General features: G+C 36.3%; 2 long non-coding RNA genes across 2 annotated transcripts in view; both read left to right on the forward strand.

Moving 5' to 3' along the window:
* Positions 1 to 26,233, forward strand: part of LOC107984608 (uncharacterized) — a 52,829-nt gene that overhangs the window by 12,022 nt on the left and 14,574 nt on the right. The window lies entirely within an intron of this gene.
* LOC105370342 (uncharacterized) lies at positions 1,251 to 18,676 on the forward strand. The gene is made up of 3 exons (XR_931691.3): positions 1,251 to 1,319; positions 17,105 to 17,250; positions 18,573 to 18,676. It is a non-coding gene; the product is annotated as an uncharacterized LOC105370342 (long non-coding RNA).

The raw sequence follows: 26,233 nt of genomic DNA on the forward strand, positions 1-26,233 counted from the left end.
AATTTAATACTCTCAATACAGACATTTGTATCAAGAAATTAAATGACATAATGCCACCAAATTGCAAAACTATATGCTAAAAAGTTATTAATTCAAATTTGCAGGCAGAACTTAAGAAAATATAAAAGAAATAGATGAAAACGACATAAACGTGATATAAAACCAAACTGCCAAAACACAACAGCAAGATCTAATTTTTTTTAATTTAGTTGAATAATATAATCTTTTAACGAAGTTAGAAATTAGTAAAGCACTGTAATTCTAAAGCTAGCGATGGGAAAACTAAATCGGATGTAGAAGCTAGACAATCTAGTAAAGCTCACAGGCTTCAGTTGTGCATTCAGCAGCTGTATTGCAGAGGCTTCCCACCATTCCTGTGTCATGAGCCTGGAAATAACTAACTAACTTAGAAACAAAAGCCTACTCAGAGAACATGGCTGCCTCTGAAAGTCATTGCTATTGTACTGCACATTTCTTAGGTGCAATATCCAGAGCATTGTAAATTTTCCATTGTGCTTTAGATATTAGTCTACCTGTGGATGAAGAAAAGCTCAGGTAAATATCATGGAAGATTACAACTTTGCACATTGATATTGAGGATGCTTTGCCAGATATAAAAATGTTACGGATACAGCTTAGCAAATAACAAAAAATATATAAGGACTTTAAGTTTGAATATATTTATACTTAAAATATATTTCCAAGAGGGAATGAACTCCCAAGAGGGACAAATTAGTATTAGAAAATAAGTAAACTCTTTGAAAAATAATTTTGGGTGTCAACTCATTTCATAAGAGACATAAAATAATTACAAAATAATCCCTAAGTTAACATTAATGTGACTAGACTGTAAGTAGTTTGAAAATGTAGCTCAATTTTAGGCATTCTTTCTTAATCATTGTTAAGCCAAACAGAAGTAGTATCAAAATTACACTCTTTTCTTAACATACTAATTACGTATTAAAAAGCACATGAGAAGTGCCCCAAAAATAAGATAAAATAAGTCATTCAAAGAATTGTGGGCGAAATCATTTACCTAGACTTCCAAACTAGAAAACACTTAGGCAATAACAGAAACAGAAGTAGTTGTTTTTTTGCTTCCCATGGAAATAATTTCCTCAGGCTATAAAATTGCAAATTGCTTTGAACTGCCTTTTATACTCAGTAGGAATAATGGAAATAATATTGCTTGAACTGTGTTATCATTCACAAAGCATGCCCTTAATACTAATACTTTTGTACTTTGATAGAATTTAGGTCCCAAGGATTCATGATCATTAAACACTGATTCATCTTGAAAGAATCTACAAAATATGCAGGTAACCGACACCACGTTAGCTTAAAAAACAGGAAGAGAAAACAAACTCTAAGAAACAACAAAAATCAAGTACGCCCATTTTTATGTTGATTTGATGGCACACAAAGTATTTTTCTTATTTAAGGTAGTACCTGTGATTTCTGAGAGTGTTTACCATTCAGTATTTGATAAGTCACACAATAATACAGTGGCAGAATGGGATGATCAGAGACTCAGGTAATGGCAAAAAGAGTAAAAAGGTGGAGAATAGGATCATAGTTTAACTGATAAATACATGAAACTTCATGATGTATTGGCAGAGTCAGGTAAGGGACAAGAATGTACGCAGAAGTGATTTGAGTATATTTCTTCATTTTCAGCATTCTTAAACCACCTACCTTCCTAAATACGATGGGTTTATGAAGAGCAGTATTAACATTATTTTCATGAATTTCTGTACCCTCTCCCCTCTAATCCCCACATGATGGAAACCTCGGTCACTGCATGTGGCTTTAGTCACTCCTGTACCAATTAAGAGACAGTCTAATGAAGCCTATGTTAGTGATTTATGCAGCTTGGACCCTCTATAAAATTGTGGTTCATTTCCAAGTATCCCATAAATATAATGCCTGTAGGAATTGAATTTCACACTTGCTTTTATATGGCAGAAATGCAAATTTGATAACCTTATCTCTAAACTACTTTAGCTTATTCTTAGGAATCCTGATTCTAATTGTAGCCAAATACAAAGGACTACATATATTTTCAAACCTCCCTGAAGGCGCATCTTTTTATGAGATGAGATTGCTACACATTTTGTTTTTAAAAAGTCCTTAGTAAATGAAGGTATATACCATGTTCATGAACTGGAAGACCTAATATTATAAAGATGTGCATTCTCCCCAAATAGATCTCTAGATTCTATGCAATTTTAATACAAATGTGAATAGAAATTTTGTTTTGGGTAGAACTAAACAAACTCACTCTAAAATTTGTTAATAGATTCCAAGACAATCTTAAGAAAGAACAAAATAAGAAGGCTTTCCATACCAGATGCCATGACTTATTATAAAGCAATAGAGATGAGGAAAGTGTGGTATTGTCACTCAATAATATGTTTATTAAATATAGAACCTAATTGAGAGGCCCAACACAGACATGACATGTAGAAACTTGATTTAGAAAAAGGTTTGATGCTGAGGGTCAGTGGAAAAAAAAATGGTATTTTTAATCAATAAATCTGGGACCACTTAGTATGCATGTTTTTATAAAAGAATTTTACTATATCCAAAAATAAATTCTAGAGAAATAAATTTAAAAGAAAAAACAGCTGGGCGCGGTGGGTCTTGCCTGTAGTCCCAGCACTTTGGGAGGCTGAGGCGGGTGGATCACAAGGTCAGGAGATCGACACCATCCTGGTTAACACGGTGAAACCGCATCTCTACCGAAAATACAAAAAAAATTAGCCAGGCATGGTGGCGGGTGCCAGTAGTCCCAGCTACTCAGGAGGCTGAGGCAGGAGAATGGCGTGAACCTGGGAGGCAGAGCTTGCAGTGAGCTCAGGTTGCGCCACTGCACTCCAGCCTGGGCGACAGAGCGAGACTCCGTCTCAAAAAAAAAAAACAACAAAAAAAAACATTTTTAAGAAAGTCATTTAGGAAAATATCTCAAGGAAAATTCTCAACAGGATACAGAAAGATCTACCCATAAAGTAAGTTAATGAAATGTTTTATTACATTGAGATTGAGAGTCTCTGTTCATCTGAAAACACCACAGTAGTTGTTCAAAATAATGTATATAGAATAGGAGAAAGGCTTTACCTTTTAATAAATTCAAATATAAATTTATAAATAAAAGCAAACAATAAACATAAAAATCCCTATAAATCAATAAGAAAAAGTCTGACAACCAATAAAAATGAGGAAGTGACTGTATAACAGGCATAGCATAATACAATGATTCCAAATGGTCTCTAAACATATGACAAAATGAACTACTTCATTAGTTATCAGGGAAATGCAAATTAAAACCAAAGAGAACTACTAGCCGCCACTCACCCACCAGAATTGTTAAAATATAAAAAGAAACAGACGAGGGTAGAGCGAGATGGCCAAATAGAACACTTCAGTCATCGTCCCACTGGCAGAAACAGCAAATTGAATTAAAGTCCACACAAAATAGCACCTTTATAAGAATCATAAATCAGGTGATTGATCAGAGTACCTTGTTATAATAATATATCAAGAAAAGAAACACAGAAGAGGGAAGGGATTACAGTCTTAAACTGCTGACATCACCCTTCCGCCATTCCCAGGCAGTGACTGCATGGTGCAGAGAGAGAATTTGTGCACTTGGGGGAGAGAGAGCGCAGTGATTGTGAGACTTCTCTTTGAACTCAGCACTGCCCCATCACGGTGGAAAGCAACACACAGCCGACCTCAGCTGGTGCTCATCCAGGCAGCATTTAGACCAGCTCTAGCCAATGGTGAATTTTCCATCTCAGTGGTCAGAAGTTGAGTCCTGGCAAGCCCTGCCATTATGGGCTAAAGTGCTGTGAGGTTCTAAATAAACGTTAACGCAGCCTAGGCCGTAAGGAATGCGATTTCTGGGTAAGTCCTTGTGCTGTGCTGAGCTTGGAGCCATTGGATTTGTAGTGCACGTTACCCGGTGAGACACCAACCAGTGTTGCCAAGGGAGTGCTTGCAGCACCCCTCCCCGCAACCCCAGGCCACGCAGCTGTCAGCTCTTCCCTCCACTTGAGGAGAGGTGAGGGAAGCGTAAAGAGGACTTGGTTCTGCGACTTGAATACCAGCTCAGCCACAGTACGATAGGGCACTGGGCGAAGTACTCATTCTAGACCCTAGCTCCCAGACAACATTTTTAATCACATTGGGTCAAAAGGAACCCCAATGCCCTGTTGGGAAGGATCCAGTCCTGGAAAGATTTATTCTCTCCTAACTAAAGAGCCCTTGGGCCATGAATAATTAGTAGTGGTGTCCAGGCAGTACTCGCCGCAGGCCTTGGGTGAGGCTCAGAGCCCTGCTGGCTTCATATGCAGCACATACCCAGATGTGATGGCTACGGAAACTGACTCCTGATTGATGAAAGGACAGGTAAGAGAAAAGAGGACTTTGTCTTACAGCTGGGGACCAGCGCCGCCACAGTGGGGTAGAGCCCCAAGGGGCTGTTTGGGTCCCTGCTTCCAGGCCTTGGCTTCTGGACAGGTATTTCTGAACCTTCTCTGGACAAGAGGGGAGCCCACTTCTCTTGAAAAAAAAAAAGAGAGTCAGGCCTGTGAACATTCACTGCAAGCCAGCTGAAGAGTGAACCTTGAGTCAGCCACAGATCTTGAGTGAATACTGGCAGTAACAAGGCAGTACTTGCCATGGGCCTCAGGTGGTAGTAGCCACAGGGAGAGACTCCTATTATTTTTGTTTATTTGCTTGTTAATTATTTTCAGACAGGTCTTGCTCTGTCACTCAGGCAAGATTGCAATGGCAGGATCATGGCTCACTGCAGCCTCGATATCCTGGGCTCAAGCAATCCTCCCACCTCAGCTTCCCATGTAGCTGGGACTACAGGTACAAGTCACCATGCTCAGCTGATTTCTTTTCTTTTTGAGTATTTTTTGTTGTTGTTGTTTTTGTCTTTGTTTTTGGACTCAAGCAATTCCCCTGCCTTGGCATCCCAAAGTGCTGGAATTACAGGTTTAAGCCACTGCACCTGGCTTAAGACTCCTGTTCTTGAGGGATAGGGAGGGAAGAGTGAGGAAGACTTTGTTTTGCAACTTGGGTACCTAGATCAGTCACAGTAGAATAGAACACCAGATAGATTCCTCCCAGACAAGCATCTTTGGACCTGCCCGGGGCCAGGGTGAACTTACCACCCTAAAGTGAAGGACACAAGCCTGGCTGAGTTTATCACCTGGTGATATTAGAGGCCATGGGCCCTGAGGGAACATAGGCAGTAGCCAGGCAGTGGTCACTGCAGGCCTTGGGAGAGACCCAGTGCTGTGAGAGAGAGAGAGAGATGATCTTTTAGATAGAGAATTCAAAACAGCTGTTTTCAGTAAGCCAAATGAAATTCAAAATAACACAAAGAAGGAATTCAGGATTCTATCAGACAAATTTTTTCAAAGATTGAAATAATTATTAGATTGTTGCAAACATAACTGCAGTTTTGGGCTGTGAATTTTAAAGTATTGTAACTAGGCTAAAACACATCTTTATTAATCAAAATAGGAACCATTACAATCAACACTTTTTGCCAGCAAGAAACAAGTTTGTTTATTCCTGTAGTGTAAAAATCTGTGCTTCAGGATTCGACAAAGTCTTGGAAAGCATTTTCTGCATCCTGCTGGTTATGAAAGTGTTTCCCCTGCAAAAAGTTGTCAAGATGTTCGAAGAAGTGGTAGTCGGTTGGCTGCAAGTCAGGTGAATATGGCAGTTGAGGCATAACTTTGTAGCTCAATTTGTTCAACTTTTGAAGCATTGGCTGAATGATGTGCAGTCAGGCATTGCTGTGAGGAATTGGGCCCTTCCTGTTGACCAATGTCGGCTGCAGGTGTTGCAGTTTTTGGTGCATCCCATTGATTTGCTGAGCATACTTCTCAGTTGTAATGGTTTTGCTGGGATTCAAAAAGCTGTAGTGGATCAGACAGACCATTGAACAGTGACTATGACCTTTCTTTTGGTGCAAGTTTGGCTTTGGGAAATGCTTTGGAGCTTCTTATCGGTCCAACCAATCTGAGCTGGCCATTGCCAGTTGCAGAATGATACAGTTTTCGTTGGAAGTTGATAGCAAAAATAAGACCATTAGTAAGAGAAGTTCACTAGGAAGTGTAAAGCTTAAAGGAAAGGGCTATTAGTAATTGGTGTTAAATGCATTGTTCGTAGTAGGACCCTCAACAAAATGAGGATATACTAAATTTAATAAATGTATGAAAGAATGAAGAAATATCTAGTGATTGACAAATAATGGGAAGGAGAAGAAATGCTCTCAAGTTAACAAAATAGTATAAATTAATACATTTAGTAAAAGTTAACAAAAGCATTCCTCTTCTTTTCTGAGTAAATGTTCACAAAAATAGAAAATACTAAATTATAGTCTTCAACATAACATATCTGATTGGAGAGTATTCCCATGTAGCCTAAAATCCTAGGCTTCAAATGCAACATTTCACCCTTCATTGGAAAAAAATATGTAAGATATAAGAACATAAAACCCAATCAAGGGTATATGATGCAAACTTTAAAAAAATATTTCACCCATGTTGGTAGTTGCCCCGCAACCTTTTATTTGGATCCTGAGTGTTTTGATACTTTGCTGCAATGTACTGTAGAAAGGAAATAAAGATTCCTGTTGCCCCACTATAAGAAAACCTCCCTTCCTGCGTCCAGGTGTTCTCATTGTTTTAGGAGATATACCTAATGTAAATGACGAGTTAATGGGTGCAGCACACCAACATGGCGTATGTACACATATGTAACCTGCACGTTGTGCACATGTACCCTAGAACTTAAAGTATAATAAAAAAATTAATGGAGAAAAAAAGAAGAAAACCTCAGGGCAAACACTTTAAGGGAAGAATATATGTGGAAGTTAGCAATCTAGAATTCTCTTAAAACTGTCTCATTTGTGACTCTCTTGAAAAATGTTTGGGGACTCTTAGAATTTACATGCCTTAATGCACAGGCCACTGCTCTAGGCCATTGCATTGACTCTATGGTTTCAAAGTAGCACTGTTTTAGATCGTTTCAAATTGAACCATCAAAAAAATAATTATTAAACATCTACCGTGTGACAGTCACTATTCTAGGAATTGAAAAGTAAAAGCACATCAAGTACTAATTACAAGACTATCTGATATAGATATCTATATTTTAAATCAAGAGGTTATTTCTGATTCCAGGCATAGATTTCCATTGCTTTTGTTTAACTGAAAGTGCCTTTATTTCTCACTCACTCAAATAATATTTTAATCTGGTGTACATAATCTTGACTGTGTTTTTCCCCAGCATTTGGAAATTAATGTAACTATTTTCAGACTTCCATTCTTTTGGCAAACTATTTTTCTCTTTGCAAAGCCTGCAAATAATTTCTCTCTTTTGTAAATAATCCCATTTTTCTTTGTAAATGTTGTGATTTTCTTTATTTTTTATTCTGTAGCTTCACTGTGAAAGTGTGAATTGTTAATTTTTAAAATTGCTAGTTTATTTTGCTGAATGGTCGTCATGTTTTTCCAGCTAAGAATTTATTTTTTCAATTCTGGAAAAATTTTCATCCAGTATCTTTGAATTTTGCCTCTTTTTTTGCTGCTCTGTCTCTTCAACACACATTAGTCATATTATCAAAAGGTTATTAGTCATGGCCTTTTCATTTTATCTTCTATGAGCTCTTGATTGCTCTTTCAGATTTTATATATGTATCATATTTTTATTGTGTGCTACATGGAGGTGATTTCTCCAATTCATATGTTATTTGGTTAATTTTCACTCTGCATATCTACAAATGCATTCTTATAATATAAATAAAAACTCTATTACATATAAGAATATGTTGAAAAAGTTACACTTTATCTTTAAAAATTCCCCATTTTATAGTTTTTATAAAAATCCCTAATCATTGTATAAATTTCAAATTTCCATAAGGTAAGTAATTATGGTGTATATGCAAACTGACTTTCATTTATATTTCAATGTTTGAAAAATAAAGAAGCATATTAGTGGCATGTGTTTAATAACCACTTGAAAATGTAGAGTTTAAATAAAGTATCAAGTATTTTGTAATATATGTCTAATCTACATAAAAGTTATGCTACAGGTAGAGGAAAATAATTATACCAAGTAAAAGGGAAACATTAACAATATTCAGATGCCAAGTTCAGTAGATCAGGGCCCATAATCCCAGTGCTTTGGGAGGCCGTGGCAGGAGGACTGCTTGTGGCCAGGAGTTTGAGGCTGCAGTGGGCTATGATCATGCCACTGTACTCCAGCCTGGGCAACAAAGTGAGACCCTGTCTCTAAACATACATATAGATAGAACTTTTTTTCAGAATTTATATATTTTTGAGAGCTCTCTCTCTTGCTCTCTCTATATATATGCATGTATCTATAATATATACTAGATCTATATATCCATTATATATACTTACATACGCTTGATGTATTTATCCATTATATATGCTTTTATATACTAGATATATTTATTATATGTATGTTTGTATGTGTATATATATACACATACACATGTATATATACACATACAAACATATATATATAGAGAGAGAGAGAGAAAGGGAGCTCTGAACTGAATTTTCAATTGAAAGTTTCCCTCAGGGCATAAACAGGCAAATGTTTACTTCTCAAATGCATGAGTAATGAGGAAAAATACAATGAAAGAAATAAGCTCATCCAAAAAATTCATGCAGGATGAGACATTTCTGTAAACAACATTGTGTAAATTATAATTTTATATTTTACTTGTCAAATATATTTCCCATTTACTATAAAATACAGTACCTAAATGATTTCAATAATGTTTTTGAGAAACTAATATGCACAATTTTATGATTGAACTTTGGTATTGAATAGAAATATGCTTTATTATATTTTCTTCAATTAACACAGAAAAATGAAATAATTCAATAATATATCATGTTTCTAAAGAAAATCTTATATGGACATTTGAAGACAGTAAGGACCTCAACAACAACAAAAAATATTTATAAGTAAATAATAATATGTGCCAACTTCTAAAATACTATGTTTGTTAAAGATCAGAAATAGTCTTGGTCTTCTGGGAATTTTTAACTTACTAGGGAGACAGAGTAGACAAATGACCATATAATTACAGATAAGATTTTAACCATGGCAAATGCTAGAAGAGAGAGGATGAATATTAGGGAATAGTGGGCAGGGCTCTGGGAGGTTAAAAATGGATATATATATATATATATATATATATATATATATATATATATATATTTTTTTTTTTTTTTTATTATACTTTGAGTTCTAGGGTACATGTGCACAACGTGTGGGTTTCTTACATATGTATACATGTGCCATGTTGGTGTGCTGCACCCATCAACTCATCATTTACATTAGGTATATCTCCTAATGCTGTCCCTCCCCCTCTCTCCCCACCCCACAACAGGCCCCCGTGTGTGATGTTCCCCTTCCTGTGTCCATGTGTTCTCATTGTTCAATTCCCACCTATGAGTGAGAACATGCAGTGTTTGGTTTTTTGTCCTTGTGATAGTTTGCTGAGAATGATGGTTTCCAGCTTCATCCATGTCCCTACAAAGGACATGAACTCATCATTTTTTATGGCTGCATAGTATTCCATGGTGTATATGTGCCACAAAAATGGATTCTTAAATGGCATTGAGTTGAGATCTATGGGATAGGTGTGAATATTCAGAGCAACAGCGAGGATAAGCCTCTCAGGGAAAAAAAATCCTGTATTTAGTGCCAATGCAGAAGAAAGCAAGGTTGGTTCAAGGCAGGGAATGGAGTTCGAGTTTGGGACAAAATGATGATGAGAATGTGAAATGGGGCTGGAGAGGCAGAAGTGGATTGCAATACCTTGGTGCTACTGCAACAACCACCCAGCCTCCAACTCAACAACAACAAGGCAGAGTTTGGAATTCAATTAGATGTACTTTGGCTTTGCTTTTCTTTTTGTTGTTGTTGTTTTTTTTTTTTTGGAAAGGGGCTTCGTAGTAAAAGTTAAGTATCTTTACTAATTTGTGAGTTCAAAATTCATCAGAGTATTTCTCTATTCATGTGTATTGTATCAGCAATCAAAAAATTTATGAGAGCAAATGGTTGCAATTTATTAAGGAATTTTTTAAAAAATTTTAAGAGAGCTCAACATTAAGCGCACACGGACAAAAATATGAGAATAACAGACACCATGGACTACTAGAGGGGGTGAAGGGAGAAGGGCATGGGTTTAAGATCTACCTATGGGGCACTATACTCACTACCTGGGTGATGGGATCTGCACCCCTAACCTCAGCATCATGCAATATCCCCATGTAACAAACCTTCACATGTACCTCTTGTATCTGAAATAAAATTTGAAATTGAAAAAAAGTCTCAAAGCATAGAAGCATATTAATGGAAGCAATCATACTTCTGTCACCATGGGTGTTAATACAGTTGTCCCAAGTTGTTGTTATTTTGCTGTCTACCCCACTCTCCTTTTGATGTATATGGATAATCTTCTTGCCAACCCAAGGGATGATCATTTCTTGGTCAGCCATGCCTTGGGTTCATGAGCATCACTGAATGTTGTGGAAAGGTGTCAACATGAAAAAACCCTGATAGACATAGAGCAAAGTGTTTCAGCACTATGAGGGTCATCTCTGTTTAGCTAATCAGTTATTAAAGTGCTAAAGGGGCAACATTCTCTACCACCCCAAAATAAGAGCTGCAAAAGGAGAACCTGGGAGTAGGTAAAGCAAAGTTCTTAATTCTGTGAAGACGAGGTCATTTTTCTGGTAATGCTTCAGTTTGGGTAACATTAAAAGCTCTAGAAGAATTGGCCAGGTGCAGTGGTTCAGGCCTGTAATCCTAACACTTTGGGAGGCCAAGGTGGGTGGATTGCCTGAGCTCAGGAGTTCAAGACCAGCCTGGGCAACAACGGTGATACCCCATCTCTACTAAGATACAATAAATTAGCTGGGCATAGTGGCATGCACCTGTAGTCCCATAGTCTCAGCTACTTGGGAGACTGAGGCAGGAGAATCGCTTGAACCTGGGAGGTGGAGGTTTCAGTGAGCCGAGATCACACCACTGCACTCCAGCCTGGGAAAACAGAGAGAGACCTCATCTACAAAAAAAAAAAAAAAAAAAGGCTCTCAAAGAATAATCTCCACACTGGTCCCTCTCTGGAAGCCTAGAAGCTCCCTTATACATTTACCTTCTTCTAAGACAAGGCCCTTTTTATGGTTTCCCAGGTCTCTAGAACTTCATATATAATTCTCTACAGGTTTTCCTCCATTGTCTCTTGATACAAATACATGACTTTCAGCACATGTGTGTGCACACGCACACCACACATACACACACACACTATTTTTCTTTGTCACCAATAGAGCTGAAAGAAACACTTTTAAAAGTCCAAATAGTTTATCAAACTACAGACTAATTTTGTTCACCTCAAGGTAGTGAAGGCTGGTTTTAAACAATTCTTAGAAGTGAAGGAACTTTATTTCTGTCTAGGAAAAGATATTTTTCTTCCTTTAGTTGGTTGAGTCCCTCTAATGAATCAGATCAGTGCCGGATGGGCAGATGATGGCTGGGGAGGTAGAACACAGTGACGTTTCCATATTGAAGCTGGTTGAATATTCACGTTCAACTTCCTTTCCATAATGTATTTGCTTTTGGTAATTTATGTCTGAACAATATTGATGCTTGTATTTGATGGAGTGAGGATTTTTTGGCAGAAAAAGCAAGTGATTTGTCTCAAAAATAAAATTCCATGCAGAAAACACATTTTTTGGTAAGTTAATGAGGAAAAAATCTGCTTGAAATTTTTGGCTTTAATTTAGAGCTGTATCAATCAGTATTTGATCAAGAAAGAGGAACCACTATTGGTATTTATAAATAAGAGATTTATTGTTGGAATTTGACTTTACTCAGTAGTAGAAGGAGGTGGGATGGTGAAGTCAGGAAAGAGAATGTGAAGGATCAGAGAGGTCCTAAGCAATCTCTGTGAAGCACTGTGATATGGTGAGTGGACAAGATGAGCTTGCAGAGAAAGATGTGAAGCCAGGCATGTGCAGCAGCTTCAATATAATCATGAAAGTGAATGGATGCCTAGGTGTGTATCAGGCTTTGCATCAGGTGGTGGCCTTGCTGTTGCTGTTGATTAGCACAGCAGGGGTCAGAGAAAGAGCTGGTCATGGAGGAACGTAGAGCAATGAAAAGCTGGACTTGGCCAGCACCTCTGTGTCTCATCAAAGAAACTCTCAGAGTATCATGATTTGCTGATTTGCTTCTACCTTGCAAACACTGAACAAACATTCATTTCTGAAATCTGTGCATATTGGTTTCTTCATTAACTTTAACATAGAACATGGGATAATTAAGAGCCTCCACAGGGAATCATCTGTATTCCAGACATACTTCTCCCTCTTTCATGTTTTAGTAACAACCTTATTTATTTATTTATATTTATGAAGCCAGTCACTTTGTCCTGTATAATCACCCCTTTCTATGCCTACCATCTTGGGAGTCCAAGGAGACCAAAGTGGCCAAGTGCAGTCTAAGCTTATAGTTTAATGGAATCATTACTCAGTTCACTAAGGGGAGGATTCTGCCCTTAGAAGCTAAGACCTCTAAACTAACAAAGACCCTAATATTCATGAAAAGGAATTTTTTTCTAATAAATAAGCAGGTGTAATATGAAGAGGACCTACTCATATTTTCCTCCCTTGATTACCAGACCCTTAAATCCTGGCTATGGGAGAAATATAAAGGATGTTCCTTTATGTCTACAAAATGTTATAATCCAGTTGTCACTATTATCAACTGATTGAAAGGTCAGCCCTCCATTCCATCAAGCCAGCTGCTTCAAGGTAACATGAAACGTTGGGTCCAGTGAATTCCATATCCCCAAATCCATTGTCATGCTTTTTATATGCAGTAAAGTGAATTATCCGATCAGAAGCAATGCTATGATAAATAACATGACAATGAATAATGCTGTTGTAAATCTTTGAATAGTGATTTCAGCAGGTGCATTAGAAACAGGAAGACAAATCTGTATCCAGAGTGTCTATTCCCATGTGAACAAAGTCTTGCACTTCTCTTGATGAAAATGATCCAATGCAATCAACAAGACCAATGCAATCAACCTAGCTGCATATTTCCTCAGAGAATGGTGCTGTAGCATAGGGTACTCCCCAGAATTTTTCGTCACCAGTTTTCCAATTGTGTTTCTTCTAAGCACATATTCATATAAATTGATAGCCACTGCCCATGTATTGAAGTAGATCTGTTCTTAAATGATGTCTCTTTCTCTTTCCAGGCAAAACAATAGGTTCACTGCTGCAAGTAATGCCAACTGGGAGGATTTCCTTTCAGCAGTGTTCTTTAGGGCCTCCCATGAGTAGGACTATCATGCTGAAACAGTCCTCTTCTGAGTAGTGCCCATATATCATGCAGAACCACCTGTGCACCAGGTCTAATTCTTCATTCTCAAAGTCTTCATTGGGACTACACAACTAACACGTTGCTAATATAATTAGCATGTGTGTGCCTTCTGGGCCTACTCACATCATATTCTTTTTCTATGGAGTACTACCGTTCACACCTAAATTGACTCTGCAATTGTGTCATTTAAAAAAACAAAAACAAAAACAAACAAAAGTGAGTCTTCAGACATATTTTCTGGAGACTTCTTGACCAGCATTTCCTTCTGTACTCCTCATTTAGGTTTCTCTACTATTTGATTAAATTTGCTTCATCGAAGAACAGTCTCAAATTTTGAGTAAAAATTTAGTTCTGCCAGTGATAGACTTGCTCATGGCAAAAATGTTGTGGTTTTCGTTACATTGCATCTAATCACTTCTTTTCATGGTCACTGTCTAAACCAGGTGGAAGAATGGCTTCAATTTTCCTTCTAAGAGGAAGGTCAGGTTATTAACCTGACCATTGTTTCCAGAGGGTGAAATTCAGCCAACATCTGTCTTATATTTGTCTATTCACTTAGATCTGTAGAGAAAGAGAATATCAAAAATAAAATTCTCATGTTGCAGGTGGATACTCTTCAAAAAAGTTTTACCATAATCTTTCAGCTAAGAATTTTATTTTCTCATTTTATTTTCTAATATTGCATAATTTTAAGGTTTTATAATCAACTATTATGAGTGATTGGCAAAAGTTCAGTGTGTATATTATATTTGGGATTGAATAGGTATCTTTTTTATACAGATATAGAACAATAAGACCAACATAAGTACATGATCCTTTGCTTATATTAATTTAACTAATATTTAAAATGATATTTACTTATTCTTGATTATGTTTTTTACAAATGCTAGGCAAGCTCTCTAAAATTATTAATTTAAGATGCATTAAACCTGCTTAATTTCCTATCTATAAATATGGTAAAACTAATTTCACTAGCATGCTATAATCATATAAAAGTTTACATATGGTTATATAAATAGATGCAAATATAATTGGTATGTGTATATATTCACATGGGTGCATATATGTACATATACATTTTTAATATCAACATTTAAATTAAGCATTTTCTATTTGCAAAACAAAGTAATTTGTAATATAAAATGTTAAATATATATTTTTGAAACATATAAATACTTGAAGTGTTAGTTTCATGAATATTCTTGAAGTGTAAGTGTAGTTTAGTTTTTGGCAGATAATTTTTAGAGCAATTTTAAAATTAAAAGCTGCCAAATATCATTTATTCCTTTTTACTAGGAAAATAAATGCAATGGATAATGGAAAACTTGCTTCAATTTTTAAAGTATTTAAATTATTTCTTCATCAAATAGAAAAACTGGCCCATTGAATTTTATTATTTTTATTTCCTTTTAAGATGGAGATAACAATGAATTCCGAATAGTAAAATGATAGGTGATAGAGAAAAGGCAAAAAAAAAAAAAAAGATTAAATCATTAAATAATAAGATAGCTGAATATCTATAAATTAATATCAGAAGTAGAACTGGAATAAAACTTCACACTATGTCCATGTAAGTGTTTACAAAATGCCTCACTAAAAGAACAGACCTGATTTCTGAAGGATTTATTGTGCAAAGTAACTTTGTTAACAAGTACAATAAATTAAGTCTAATTTTCCCCTTGAGTTTTTATCCATTTAAATCTACCAACATAATTGCTCCTAGTCCTATTATATATTTGAATATAATTTATTTCTAAAATATCTGAAAAATATTTTAAATAAAGAATTGGGCTTTTATATGGTTATCTGGCTAGTAATAATCACAAGTATTTATGTAAAGAACAATGCAGAAAGCTTATAGCAACTGCGTGCAGTGAGCTTATGGACCTGGAACCTGGGGGTGTATTAGTTTATGTCCACGATTCTGCTAACTCACTTTGAACCTAAGGCTGACATGGAAGATGCAGGATACCTAGAGAAATCTAAATTTCATATAAACAACAAATCATGTTGTATTAGTTTGTTCTCACACTACTATAAAGAACTACCTGAGACTGGATAATTTATCAAGGAAACAGGTTTAATTGACTCATAGTTGTGCAGGGCTGGGGAGGCATCAGGAAACTTACAATCATGGTGGAAGGGAAAGCAAACACGTTCTTCTTCACGCGGCGTGATAGAGGAGGCGGGCAGGGAAGTGCTGGGAAGGGAAGGACTTGGTCCCTGGTGAGGGCTCCTCCCCAGCCTATGCCCACGGACCTAGGTGAGGACAGTCACTCGTGCCTTCATGCCCAAATGTTGCATTTCCCAAGACTACCCTGGCCCACCATGCTCCCATCCTGTGCCTATAAAAACCTCAAGAACCTAGCAGGCAGCCACACAAGCGGCTGGACGTGGGGAGGAGTGGATCAGTGGAAGAAGACACAAGTGGCTGGACGTCAGGAGAATGTCCAGGGGAGCACGCTGGCAGAAGAGCCCACTGACAGACGCCAGCACATAGGCAGGCCATTTACTGGTGGAATTATGCAGTTGTTGGGGGGCAGGTGTCAGAGAAGTGTCAGGCGCTTGGCTGCCTGACTCCATGGGAAAACCATCTCCCTTCTGGGTTTCCCATCTTCTGAGAGCTACTTCCACTTAATAAAACCTTGCACTCATCCCCCAAGCCCACCCGTGTTCTGATTCTTCCAGTACACCAAGGCAAGAACCCCGGGATACAGAAAGCCGTCTGTCCTTGCAACAAAGTAGAGGGTCTAATTAAGCTGGTAAACACAAGCTGCCTACGGACGGCTGAACTAAAAGAGCACCCTGTAGCACACACCCACTGGGGCCTCAGCTATCAACATTCACCTGTAGACACTGCTGTGGGGTCAGAGCCCCACAGTCTGCCCATCTGTATGCTCCCCTGGAGGTTTGAGCAGCGGGGCACTGAAGAAGCAAGCCACACACACACTGTGAGGGAGACAAAGGAACTTTTCCTGTTGCAGCAGCAGGAAAGAGAAGCACCAAGCAAAGTGGGAAAAGCCCCTTATAAGACCAAGACCATCAGATCTTGTGAGAACTCACTCACTATCATGAGAACAGCATGGTGGTGACTACCCCCATGATTCAATTACTTCCCACCAGATCCCTCCCATGACATATGGGGAGTATCAGAACTACAATTCAAGGTGCGATTTGGGTGGGGACACAGCCAAACCATATCACATGTTTTACTATAAATATGCCATATGTAAGATTTAGGACATCACTCCAAAACATGATTAACTAAACATTCTATATTTTTGTTGGTTAAATCTGATCTATGGAAGCCTTATTCTTTTTTGGTTAGTCCATCAGAGATGTTCTTGAGAATAAAGACATTATAGCCTTATCTTCTATATAGCCTTGTCTTGTCCAATTAATCTTAAATCATGCATGCCTAGATTCTCTGAGCATTAAAATTTACGTGGTCCCTGTTACACAAATTCTTCTAAATGAATCATAGCAGCATCACCATAACAAGAGTTTTCATCATACGTAACATTCAAAATTATGCAGTTTTGGAATAGTTGTTCTTATTAGAAAGAGATACTCTTATCTGTACATGTGAGTTTTTTTTTCTACAAGATATCATTTCCAATGTCTTTCCATTTTAACTCAGTGTTCAAGGAGGCAAAACAGAATTAGAGACAAGACAGAAGCATGTTCTCATGTCATGTTCTCATGGAGAGTGGCTATCTTTCTGAATTGGAATCACCTGATAACCCACTCAACTAGCTCATTGACTAGACGATTAACAGCTGACAGGTTAGTGATGTTTAGTAAATGCAGTAAATGTGATTGGAAGTGATGAGGTAGGAGTTACTCTATAAAACAGAATGACAGAGGTTTTGTCTATAAAACATTAGACTATGTAGACTATTAACTCTATGGAAATCTAATAAGCCATGTTTACTTTATTTAACCTATCCCAAGTAATTTTAGGCTGCTTTAGCCATTATGTGGTTTCTCCAAGAATCATTGTGAAAAGTGATCGCATTTTATTTCTACTGACTTTGATGGTTTTGTTCTGCATTTCTTACTTAAAATGCTGCCTAAAGATAGGAAAAGATACCTTCTACAGTATAATTATCTGGGATGTCTTACATAAATGGTCTTAAAATAGATCTCTGGTGTGACAATCTTCTAATGCTCTCTTTTCAGGTTCTCATAGAACATGCTATACGGAAATTTTCTTTTTATAGTTAATTATGCTTTCATGACAAAAGCCAAAGAGATAGCTAAAAACAAGCAGAATTCCTTATGAATTCTATGAATTATGCAGAATAAGTTTCTCTCTGTTAAAGTAAAATTTGCTTTAGCAAATATACTTGTGCTAAAATATCTTTTACTTATGTCTTATTTTCTAAGTATGATCTGAAATTTTCTCTGTAGATTTGAGAAATTATCAGCTCTAATTTTTCTAGTCATGCTTATTCAATGGTCACTCTGTTTTTAACCATTACCATACAGTATTTGGCACATAATCTAGTCATTTCTGAATTTAATTTCCAGAGAGGGGATGCACATAGTGTGAAGGACATCTTTCTTTTTATGAAGGTGTATTTAAGGAGCAAACAGCAAACTGTACTTAGAGTCTGATAATACTGGGTTTCAACCATAGCTTTCACATTTATAATCCTAAGGGATTTACCTAACCTTTCTGAGGTTCAGTTTTCTCATTCATAAAATGAAACAAAATAGATAATTCAAATATTTAATTTAAAGATTAAAGTCTTTAAAATATCAACGGGAGTGACTGATACTCAGTGAGTGCAGCAGTGATTATATCTGAGCCTCAAGTCCCCTGTGGGACAGGCTTTTTTATGGGTATCTCTCTAATTTTTCAGAAAACAAATGAAAATGAATCAAATGGAAATAATTTTAAAAAACTAAAAATTCAGCAATCACATATGGAACTGTTACTGAATGTTCTATAATATGCCAGATTTCAGATGATTTGTGTCCTTTTCTCTCTGAGTGAGTGGGTGTTGAGAAGCTTGGGGACTATCCTACAGCAGAACACCCAGCTTCGCTGAATTGAGAGGCCCTGTCCAATGCGAATGATTCATTCCACTTTCTCTTTCTAGAAACATCTACCATTTGGGGGGCTGCCCATATTTTCAGCCAATTTTCTCTCTCAGCCATACACCTGGAAGACTTGATACACCTATCAGCTCAGCACAGATATTAGAGCAGGTGATTTTAATATTTCTTCTACTTTAGAGCAAGTGACTTAAAAGGTAAGCCATTCTGGAATCCCGTTTAACTCTCGGCTACCATAAGTCAAGCAACATAGATGTGATTTCAGGGAGTTAGAACTAAAATTGCACATTGTTTCTGGTGTTTTTCTCATTTTAATAATTTAGATATTCTCCAAGGTGGCTACTCCTTGATTATACAGAACGAACAGATATTCCCAGCTTCATCCAATTTACTGTCAGTAGAAACTGACGATTGGTTTATTCTGAAATAACTTTTCAATCATTTTACTTCCAGTTCAGTTAACTTCCCAATGTACCCTTTAATTTCAACATACTGTCAGACTTTTGACTTTACAACATTTTTTTTAAAAAATAACTTTTTAAATTGATATATGCTTCTCATAACAATACACACCATTTTAGAATGAAAATCTTCATGGTTTTTAGCATGTTTACTGTTGTGCAACCATAACCACTAGCTATTTCTACAACATTTTCATCACCCACAAAGGAAACTCTGTATCTATGATCAGATAGCTGTAAATTTCCCCTCCATACATACCCAGACAACCACAATTCACATCCTCTATCTGTGGTTATGCATATTCTGGATGTTTTGAACAAATGAAATCATACAATAAGTGGCCTTTTGTGTCTGACTTTTATTACATAGCATAATGTTTGAAAAGTTCATTCCATGTTGTAGCATGTAAGAGGGGTTTAATCTTTCTGTGACTGAAATCATTTCATTATATATCACACTTTTTACCTATTAATTATTGTTTTTAAATGTTTCTCTTGCCTGCTCACAGCAGCTCTGCAGCCTTTCTACTGAATTTTTCATTTTAGTTATTGTAGTTTTCAACTCCATAATTTTATATTTTATAATACCTGTCTTTTTATTAATATTCTCAGTCTCATGAAACATCAGTCTCACACTTTCCTTTAGTTCTTTGGACATGATTTTCTTTAGCTTGTTGAATACATTTAAAATAGCTGATTTGAAATTTTTGAGGCATGCCCTCAGTACTCAGGCAGGCGGTTTGCAACAGGGAGGATATAGCCGTTTTGCTCCCAGATGGAGTCTGATAATGTAATTAACAAGGAAAAGAGCAGAGAGAATGAAAGAAGCCAGGTTCTGATGATGCCTATTGAGTCAGATAAACCTTGATAAACCCTGTTTTTCTCAATTACACAAGCCAAAAAAGTAAACCTACTTGTGTTGTATTTTCTGATATTTGCATCCAAAACAGGCCAAAATGATAACCATACCTTTGACAACATCTAAACAGAATAGATTAATGATATCTTTGTTAATGTCATCAAATCTGATTCACATACTCATATGTATCAAATTGCTTTTCTCAGGAAGATCCTATTTATTCTGTTGATGACTAAAATATCTGATAATTTTTTCTAGACATATACTTCATTTTAGTAAGTTATTCACATAATTGATTAGGATTGATTAGATGATGATTCATGAAGTCTCAATGGATTCAAACCATTATTGACTGTAAAAAAACGTGATTATTTCATATACTCCTAGAAAGAGTTATAAACATGGGCCATTTTCAGGGAAAAAGCCGGCGATGTTAAAATGCATTTCACATTCAGAAATGTTAAAAATGATGGAGACATTCAACGATGGACTTATTCCTGGAAAATCCACCTTTTTCTTCTAACTAATCATATACATACTTTATTAGGGGTTTAGAGAAATATAAACTGATGCTGTTTATCAGTAACAGGAGTGTTCAATTTTGACCTTTTTTGCATAATTATGACATAAAATTCCAAGGAGAACAAGAATATATTAATATTTTTTCTTGCCAACGATTTTCTTTCATAAGGTTAGTATGTCATATATAAGCAAAGTTAATAATCCAAGGCAAATTAAACATTGGCTTGGTATCAAGACTTGAGCCTTTTGTCTTGACCTAACTTTATAATTTAGTAACTTAGGTGGAAAGGAGTAGAGGGATTCTTTTGTCCAAGCATGGATTCGTCTACAAATATAGGCCTTCCCATAAGTAACATTGAGTTCTGTTGATTTACATGTATTCAGATTTTTGTTGTTGTTGTTCTTGCTAATAAAATTGAGGAACAGTCTTCAGTTAGTCCTTAGATTTTGATCAAGATCTGAATTTTAGAGTACAAAAACCAAAACACATGACAACTGTTTGATCTAATATATCAGGAATTTTGTGAGAAATATCTGTATTTTTTTTATTTACATGATGTGAGATATTTCAGCTTCCACTTCACAACCATACATTGCATAAACATCACCTATTTAAAGTGGAACTTTAGTTCCTGAGCTGAATATGTATCTCCATATATATACTTACTTGATTAAAGTCTACACTCACAGTAGAGTGTTATGTGCGGTAACTTCTCAAGTTAAGTAGGAGCTAAGTCGGGAGATAGCTTTGACTCTTCCTAATTGTCCTTTGAAAATCTCACTAGTGATCAGTTTTATTTCACAAGACACAGGATTTCTTCATCATCCACTGCGACTACCAAGAGAGCCTCATCAGATGTAACTGACATATGCCTATATTTTAACTAACTGTGTTTGTGGAATTAAAAATAAATTTCCCAGGGCCCATGCTTCTGACATTTTTCATACAATTTCTCAGTGTTCCCAGTGTATCTGTTTCTCTTTATGCCTTGAGTAGATCTTGTAATAAAAGTTTGAACATCATAAATATAATGTTTTACTGAAAAGAGTAAGTATTTTGAAAGAAACTTAGAATGCTTTTTTTTATTTAGGATAATTGTCTACATATTTAGAACTTTAAAAAAAGTAAATTTTTAAAATATCCATGTACAATATTTTTAAGATAATAGCTCCTACTGCTTAATGTTGGTAAACATACAAGCCTGTCATTGACATACTGTTTTGCATGAACTATTTTCTTTCTTTTCTCCCAACATTTTATAATTTTTTTTTTTCCTGAGATACAGGATCGATGAAGAAATGGTACAATACGCGTTGAGAAAGTCTCTACCCAGATTCAATTTCAATATTTTCTAACATTTTACCTTGTCCCCTGCCACGTCCCCCATTCCTGTCTGTTTCTCTGCTTTTTAGAGCACCCCTGGAGCTTGTCTGAGCTGGGACAATTGGCACTTGCTAGGATAGAAGGGATGGGATGTGAACAGGCGGCTGAATACCCAAGCTTCCCTATGCCTTCAGGGGAAATTCAACTTGGTTTCTCAAAGCTTTCCCAGTAGGACTGTACCTTAGTTGCCTGCAGCAGTAAGCTGACAGGTAACATAAATTTTATTGGCTTTTCTCTGTTTCCTCTCTTCTTCCTTTCTCCTACTTGTGCTTTCTGAGATCTTCTTCCACTGAAACTGCATGCACCCAAGTCCTGTTTCAGGATCTGCTTTGAGAGAGACTTCAAATTAAGATGGATTTTTTTTCGTGTGCCCTTTAACTTATCCCTTATTCCTTTTATTTGATAAAAACAAGAAGTCCTGAGGCTAGCTTAAATTGGGCAAAATAAAAATGTGAATTTCATACTACATCACATCTGGAGACTAATATCAGTTTTCTCAATACTTGTTATGAAACTTTGACCCTTAGTTACTAGATAAAATTCTGCAGAAAACTAAATAACTCCGTCTGCGTATAAACAAGGTGGACGTAAAACAGGCATTTGGTGGCTCTCCATCATGAAGTGATAATTATTTGTTTACATGCAAGTTTTCTAAGAGAGGTTTACTGAGGATCTGGTCAACAAATTTGTTAAAATTTACGCAATCAAAGGAAACATTAAATTTGCCTTTGGCTAGTGGAAAAAAAGTTATTATTATTTTTTCATTACTTTTAGAAACTGTGAAAGGTAGAGAAAACCAGAAAGTAAAAATCTGAAAGTAATTAATACCCATACAGTCTGTTTTCAGGGTAATATCATTTTAGTAAAGATTTAGGAAGAGAAGTGAAAATAGGACTTGGAAATAATACTTTGTGTGTGTGTATGCAAAAGATAATCCTATTTGTTTACTTTTTTTTTTTCTTGGCTCACAGAAAGATTATATTCTGCGGCCTCCCTGTGGAATAATGAGGTTAAATGACTGTGTTCTAAGCCTAAAAAAGGACAGGAAATTAGGTCTGTCCCTTTCAGAGCTGGTCCTCTCCCTCCACATTGCCTGCTTGATGCTTGTAGAGGCTGCAAAGGAGGATTCTAAGGTGCAGAAGGCTGTGGAGTTACTAGATTAGAGGGATTTGAATCTGTCCCAAAGCTCCACCCCACTCAGCCATCGGCCCTTATTGGAATTAGAAGTAAATGATGAGTAAAATTGTGTTTGTTTAGCCACTGAGATTTTAAGGGTATTATTATAGCAATTAGCACTCCCTGACCAATTCCATTAGGAAGGTGAAGAAGAAAAGTGTATGATAAGATGTGGTTTGGTAGATCACTTCCTAGCTAGAAAAGGGATTTAAAAAAATGAAAACCCAACAGTGCTAAGGAAAACACTCTTGGCTATATGAATTCCAGCATAGAAGGTGACAAATAGAGTCACTTATGAAAAAGTGAAGTTGCATTCCAAAGTGAAGGATGAACAACGAGATTGACATTTATACCCACATACTATTTCACACTTGGAAACTTCTGAGAATGGCTTTTCAGTAGTCAATGCCTCTATGCCATTCCAAAGCATAGCACTTACCATTTATCCATTGGTTAGTATCATTGATCAGTGTTATTGAACTGTCAATGTATCTCTGTCATTATAATAAATCATTTTCCTGGAAATTTTTGCAATCAGACTTATGAGAAATAAATCAATTCAACCCTGCAGTAGCCAATTAGAAAGTATGTCAGATGCACAAATCACCTATACAGATACAGATTTTGATTCTATATCAATGTATCTATATTTCTATCTATACATTTCAACATCTCGATAGGTGGAATGTTGGTAGACTGCTTTCAAAATAAATATCTTGTCACTTGTGACCAATTTTTATGTTATAGGGTACAAAAAGGATCATTAATCTGAATCTGATTAACTGGGCCATGAAATAAGGCTGACGTGAGAGTTAGAAGAGTGTATTGAGAACTCCCCCAGAGACTCACAGTTTAAAGTCTGAAGACAAAATTAAAGTGTTTCTAGGGCTTAAAAATCCTGTAATTAATAGTGTATAACTAACCACAGTGGCTTGCAGTTTTACATTTCTAACACTTTTTTTTAAATTTTCAGTACTATTGATATAAGATGACACTGCCCGTTAATTAATCCTCAAGTTATTTTTAAAATCCGCAAGTATCTAAATGGCATTCACCACAAATTTATTCAATTAATAATTGATTATCATTACTTAATAAGATTCTCTATAATTTATTGTATGTGTCCCAGGTAGTTACAGTTTTATTGTAGATAACTTTGGAGAGTTTTAATTACATGGCAGGTAACATATATTTTGTAGGAAGATAAATTAAAGTGATATAGATTACTGCTTGGTGTACAATGTTACACATGATCTAAAATGGTTTGCTAGTTCTTCCCCAGAGATGACTGGTTCTGTTTTATATGTTCCCCTGAATAGCAGCAGAAACAACAGGGAAATTTGTTTGGATGAGATCAAATTGCAAATAGGTACAGAGTGTCGCATGGAGAAATGTTTCTGTCCTTGTTGTGGTTCTTAGTCACTGAATCTCTGACGAGCAGCTGAATGTTGAAGCAAATGACAAAACATTAATGAAAAGGCACCCTGGCACATTTACAGTGGGGGAAACGATCATTTTACTTCTTATGAAACAGAATGATCTAGGCACCCTCCACAAACATAAGCAAGAATAGGGCCTACTTACTGATGTCTTTCCCAACTCATTGAGGAATCATGCAGTTCAGTGGTAGGGGATACTTCCTGAAGTGGATCTCCATTTGACCCAAATATGAGAGGAGGGCCTCCTCAGGTCCCCCTGTCTGGGCTGTGATTTGCAGCTTCCTGTTCCTTCAGTTCCTCAGTGGAGGTGATGGGGGCCAGGCAGAGTATGTAACCCGCTGGAGACCAGTCAAGTAAGCCACAGGAGCTGGGGGGAGAAAGGGGAGAAGCACAGCCAGTGGGCTTGGCTGAGGTGTGTGATTTCCTTTCTGCTGTAATCAGAGGGTGGAATCTGTCACACCAAAATGGTTTAGGCTGTGAGAAACTAATGACACAAGGTGGCAAAAAATTCCTCAGCTAGGATAATTATGTTTTCTCAAAAAAAATCAATAGAAAATAGATACAAACAACTGGTTTCATTATTAAAAGTCTATCTTTGGGCCAGATACAATCATTTTCTTTAACTAGCAGAGAAGATTGTCATTTCCTGTAAAGCAGCCTTGCAGATGGGTTCAAAAAAAAATCTATCAGACTGAAAAACTTCACGTGTCCTTCCCACATCTATCAATGTCACACTAGCAGCATTTCTTAGGCTTTTCCCACACTCATCAATGCCATAATGACATTGCAGTGAACTAGAGTAGCCTTAAGATATTGAGTGCCAATTCAGCCATTTATATTTCAGTTCATCTTTAATGATTCCTACTAGTTTCTTTTGTGTTGTCTTTTATTCTAGATATAGCAGTGTCTTCTGATTTTTTTAAACTGTATATGCTGGACCCAATTATTGCCCTGTAACAAAATTTGTTTCTCAGAGACCACTTTTGCAGAAAGAAATTAATAAGATAGGCTTTCTGTTTATTATTTCTGATTCAATTGAAAATTCAAGCTAAATGGGGTTGTGGGAAAGTGTGTTTACCTAGGGTTTCCTTTCACCTCTGCCGCCGTTCTGTGTGATCTTAGACATGGAATTTAATCCAAAGAACTTTGGATTTAAAGATAAAGATATTTAAAATAGAGACTCTTGTAGTTACATTCATTTGTAAAGTTCCAGGATAATTTGGCCTAACCCATTTAATTAAATGCTCGGATACACATAAAGAAAAATAATCTCTCGACATTAATCTTCAGTTCTTCTCACTAGATAATTGGGCGTATATTATAGATTCTCAATTACAAGAGAGTTAACAATGGGTTCTGTTTGAATAAGTTAAAGTTACCTTTTTGAATTAGAATTTAAATTTTATACTATGTTAGTTTTAGGATTCAGGTAATTTGAGGAAGTTTTAACAGTCTTTGTCATATAGTGCTGGCACGTTTTTGAAATGGAATCACAAATGGTAAAGTTCCTTTACATTGGCTGTTTGCCAAAGTTATGTGAGTTTCTATATCCATATAAGCCTTTAAGTATCTGTTTGCTTTGAAAGTAATTAAATTAATTAATGTAAAGTTTAAGAAGATAGATCTTAAGTCAAATCAAAGATCAAAGAGCCCTAAAGTGCTGCTAAGCATTAAAAATTATATATGTGCTCCAAAGGAACAATTTCAATAAGTTTTATGTGGAATGGTAGAGACATTTTCCCAATGGTGATAAATGGGTTTTCTAGGATTTTCTAAATCTTAATAATGTACTGTTTCTGATTTTTATTTTCCTGTTTGTAAGCTGATACAACATTGTATTAAAGTCAGGACCTTTGGTTTTTTT

This window comes from Homo sapiens, chromosome 13 (assembly GCF_000001405.40).
Source record: "Homo sapiens chromosome 13, GRCh38.p14 Primary Assembly".
NCBI classification, from domain to species: Eukaryota; Metazoa; Chordata; class Mammalia; order Primates; family Hominidae; genus Homo; species Homo sapiens.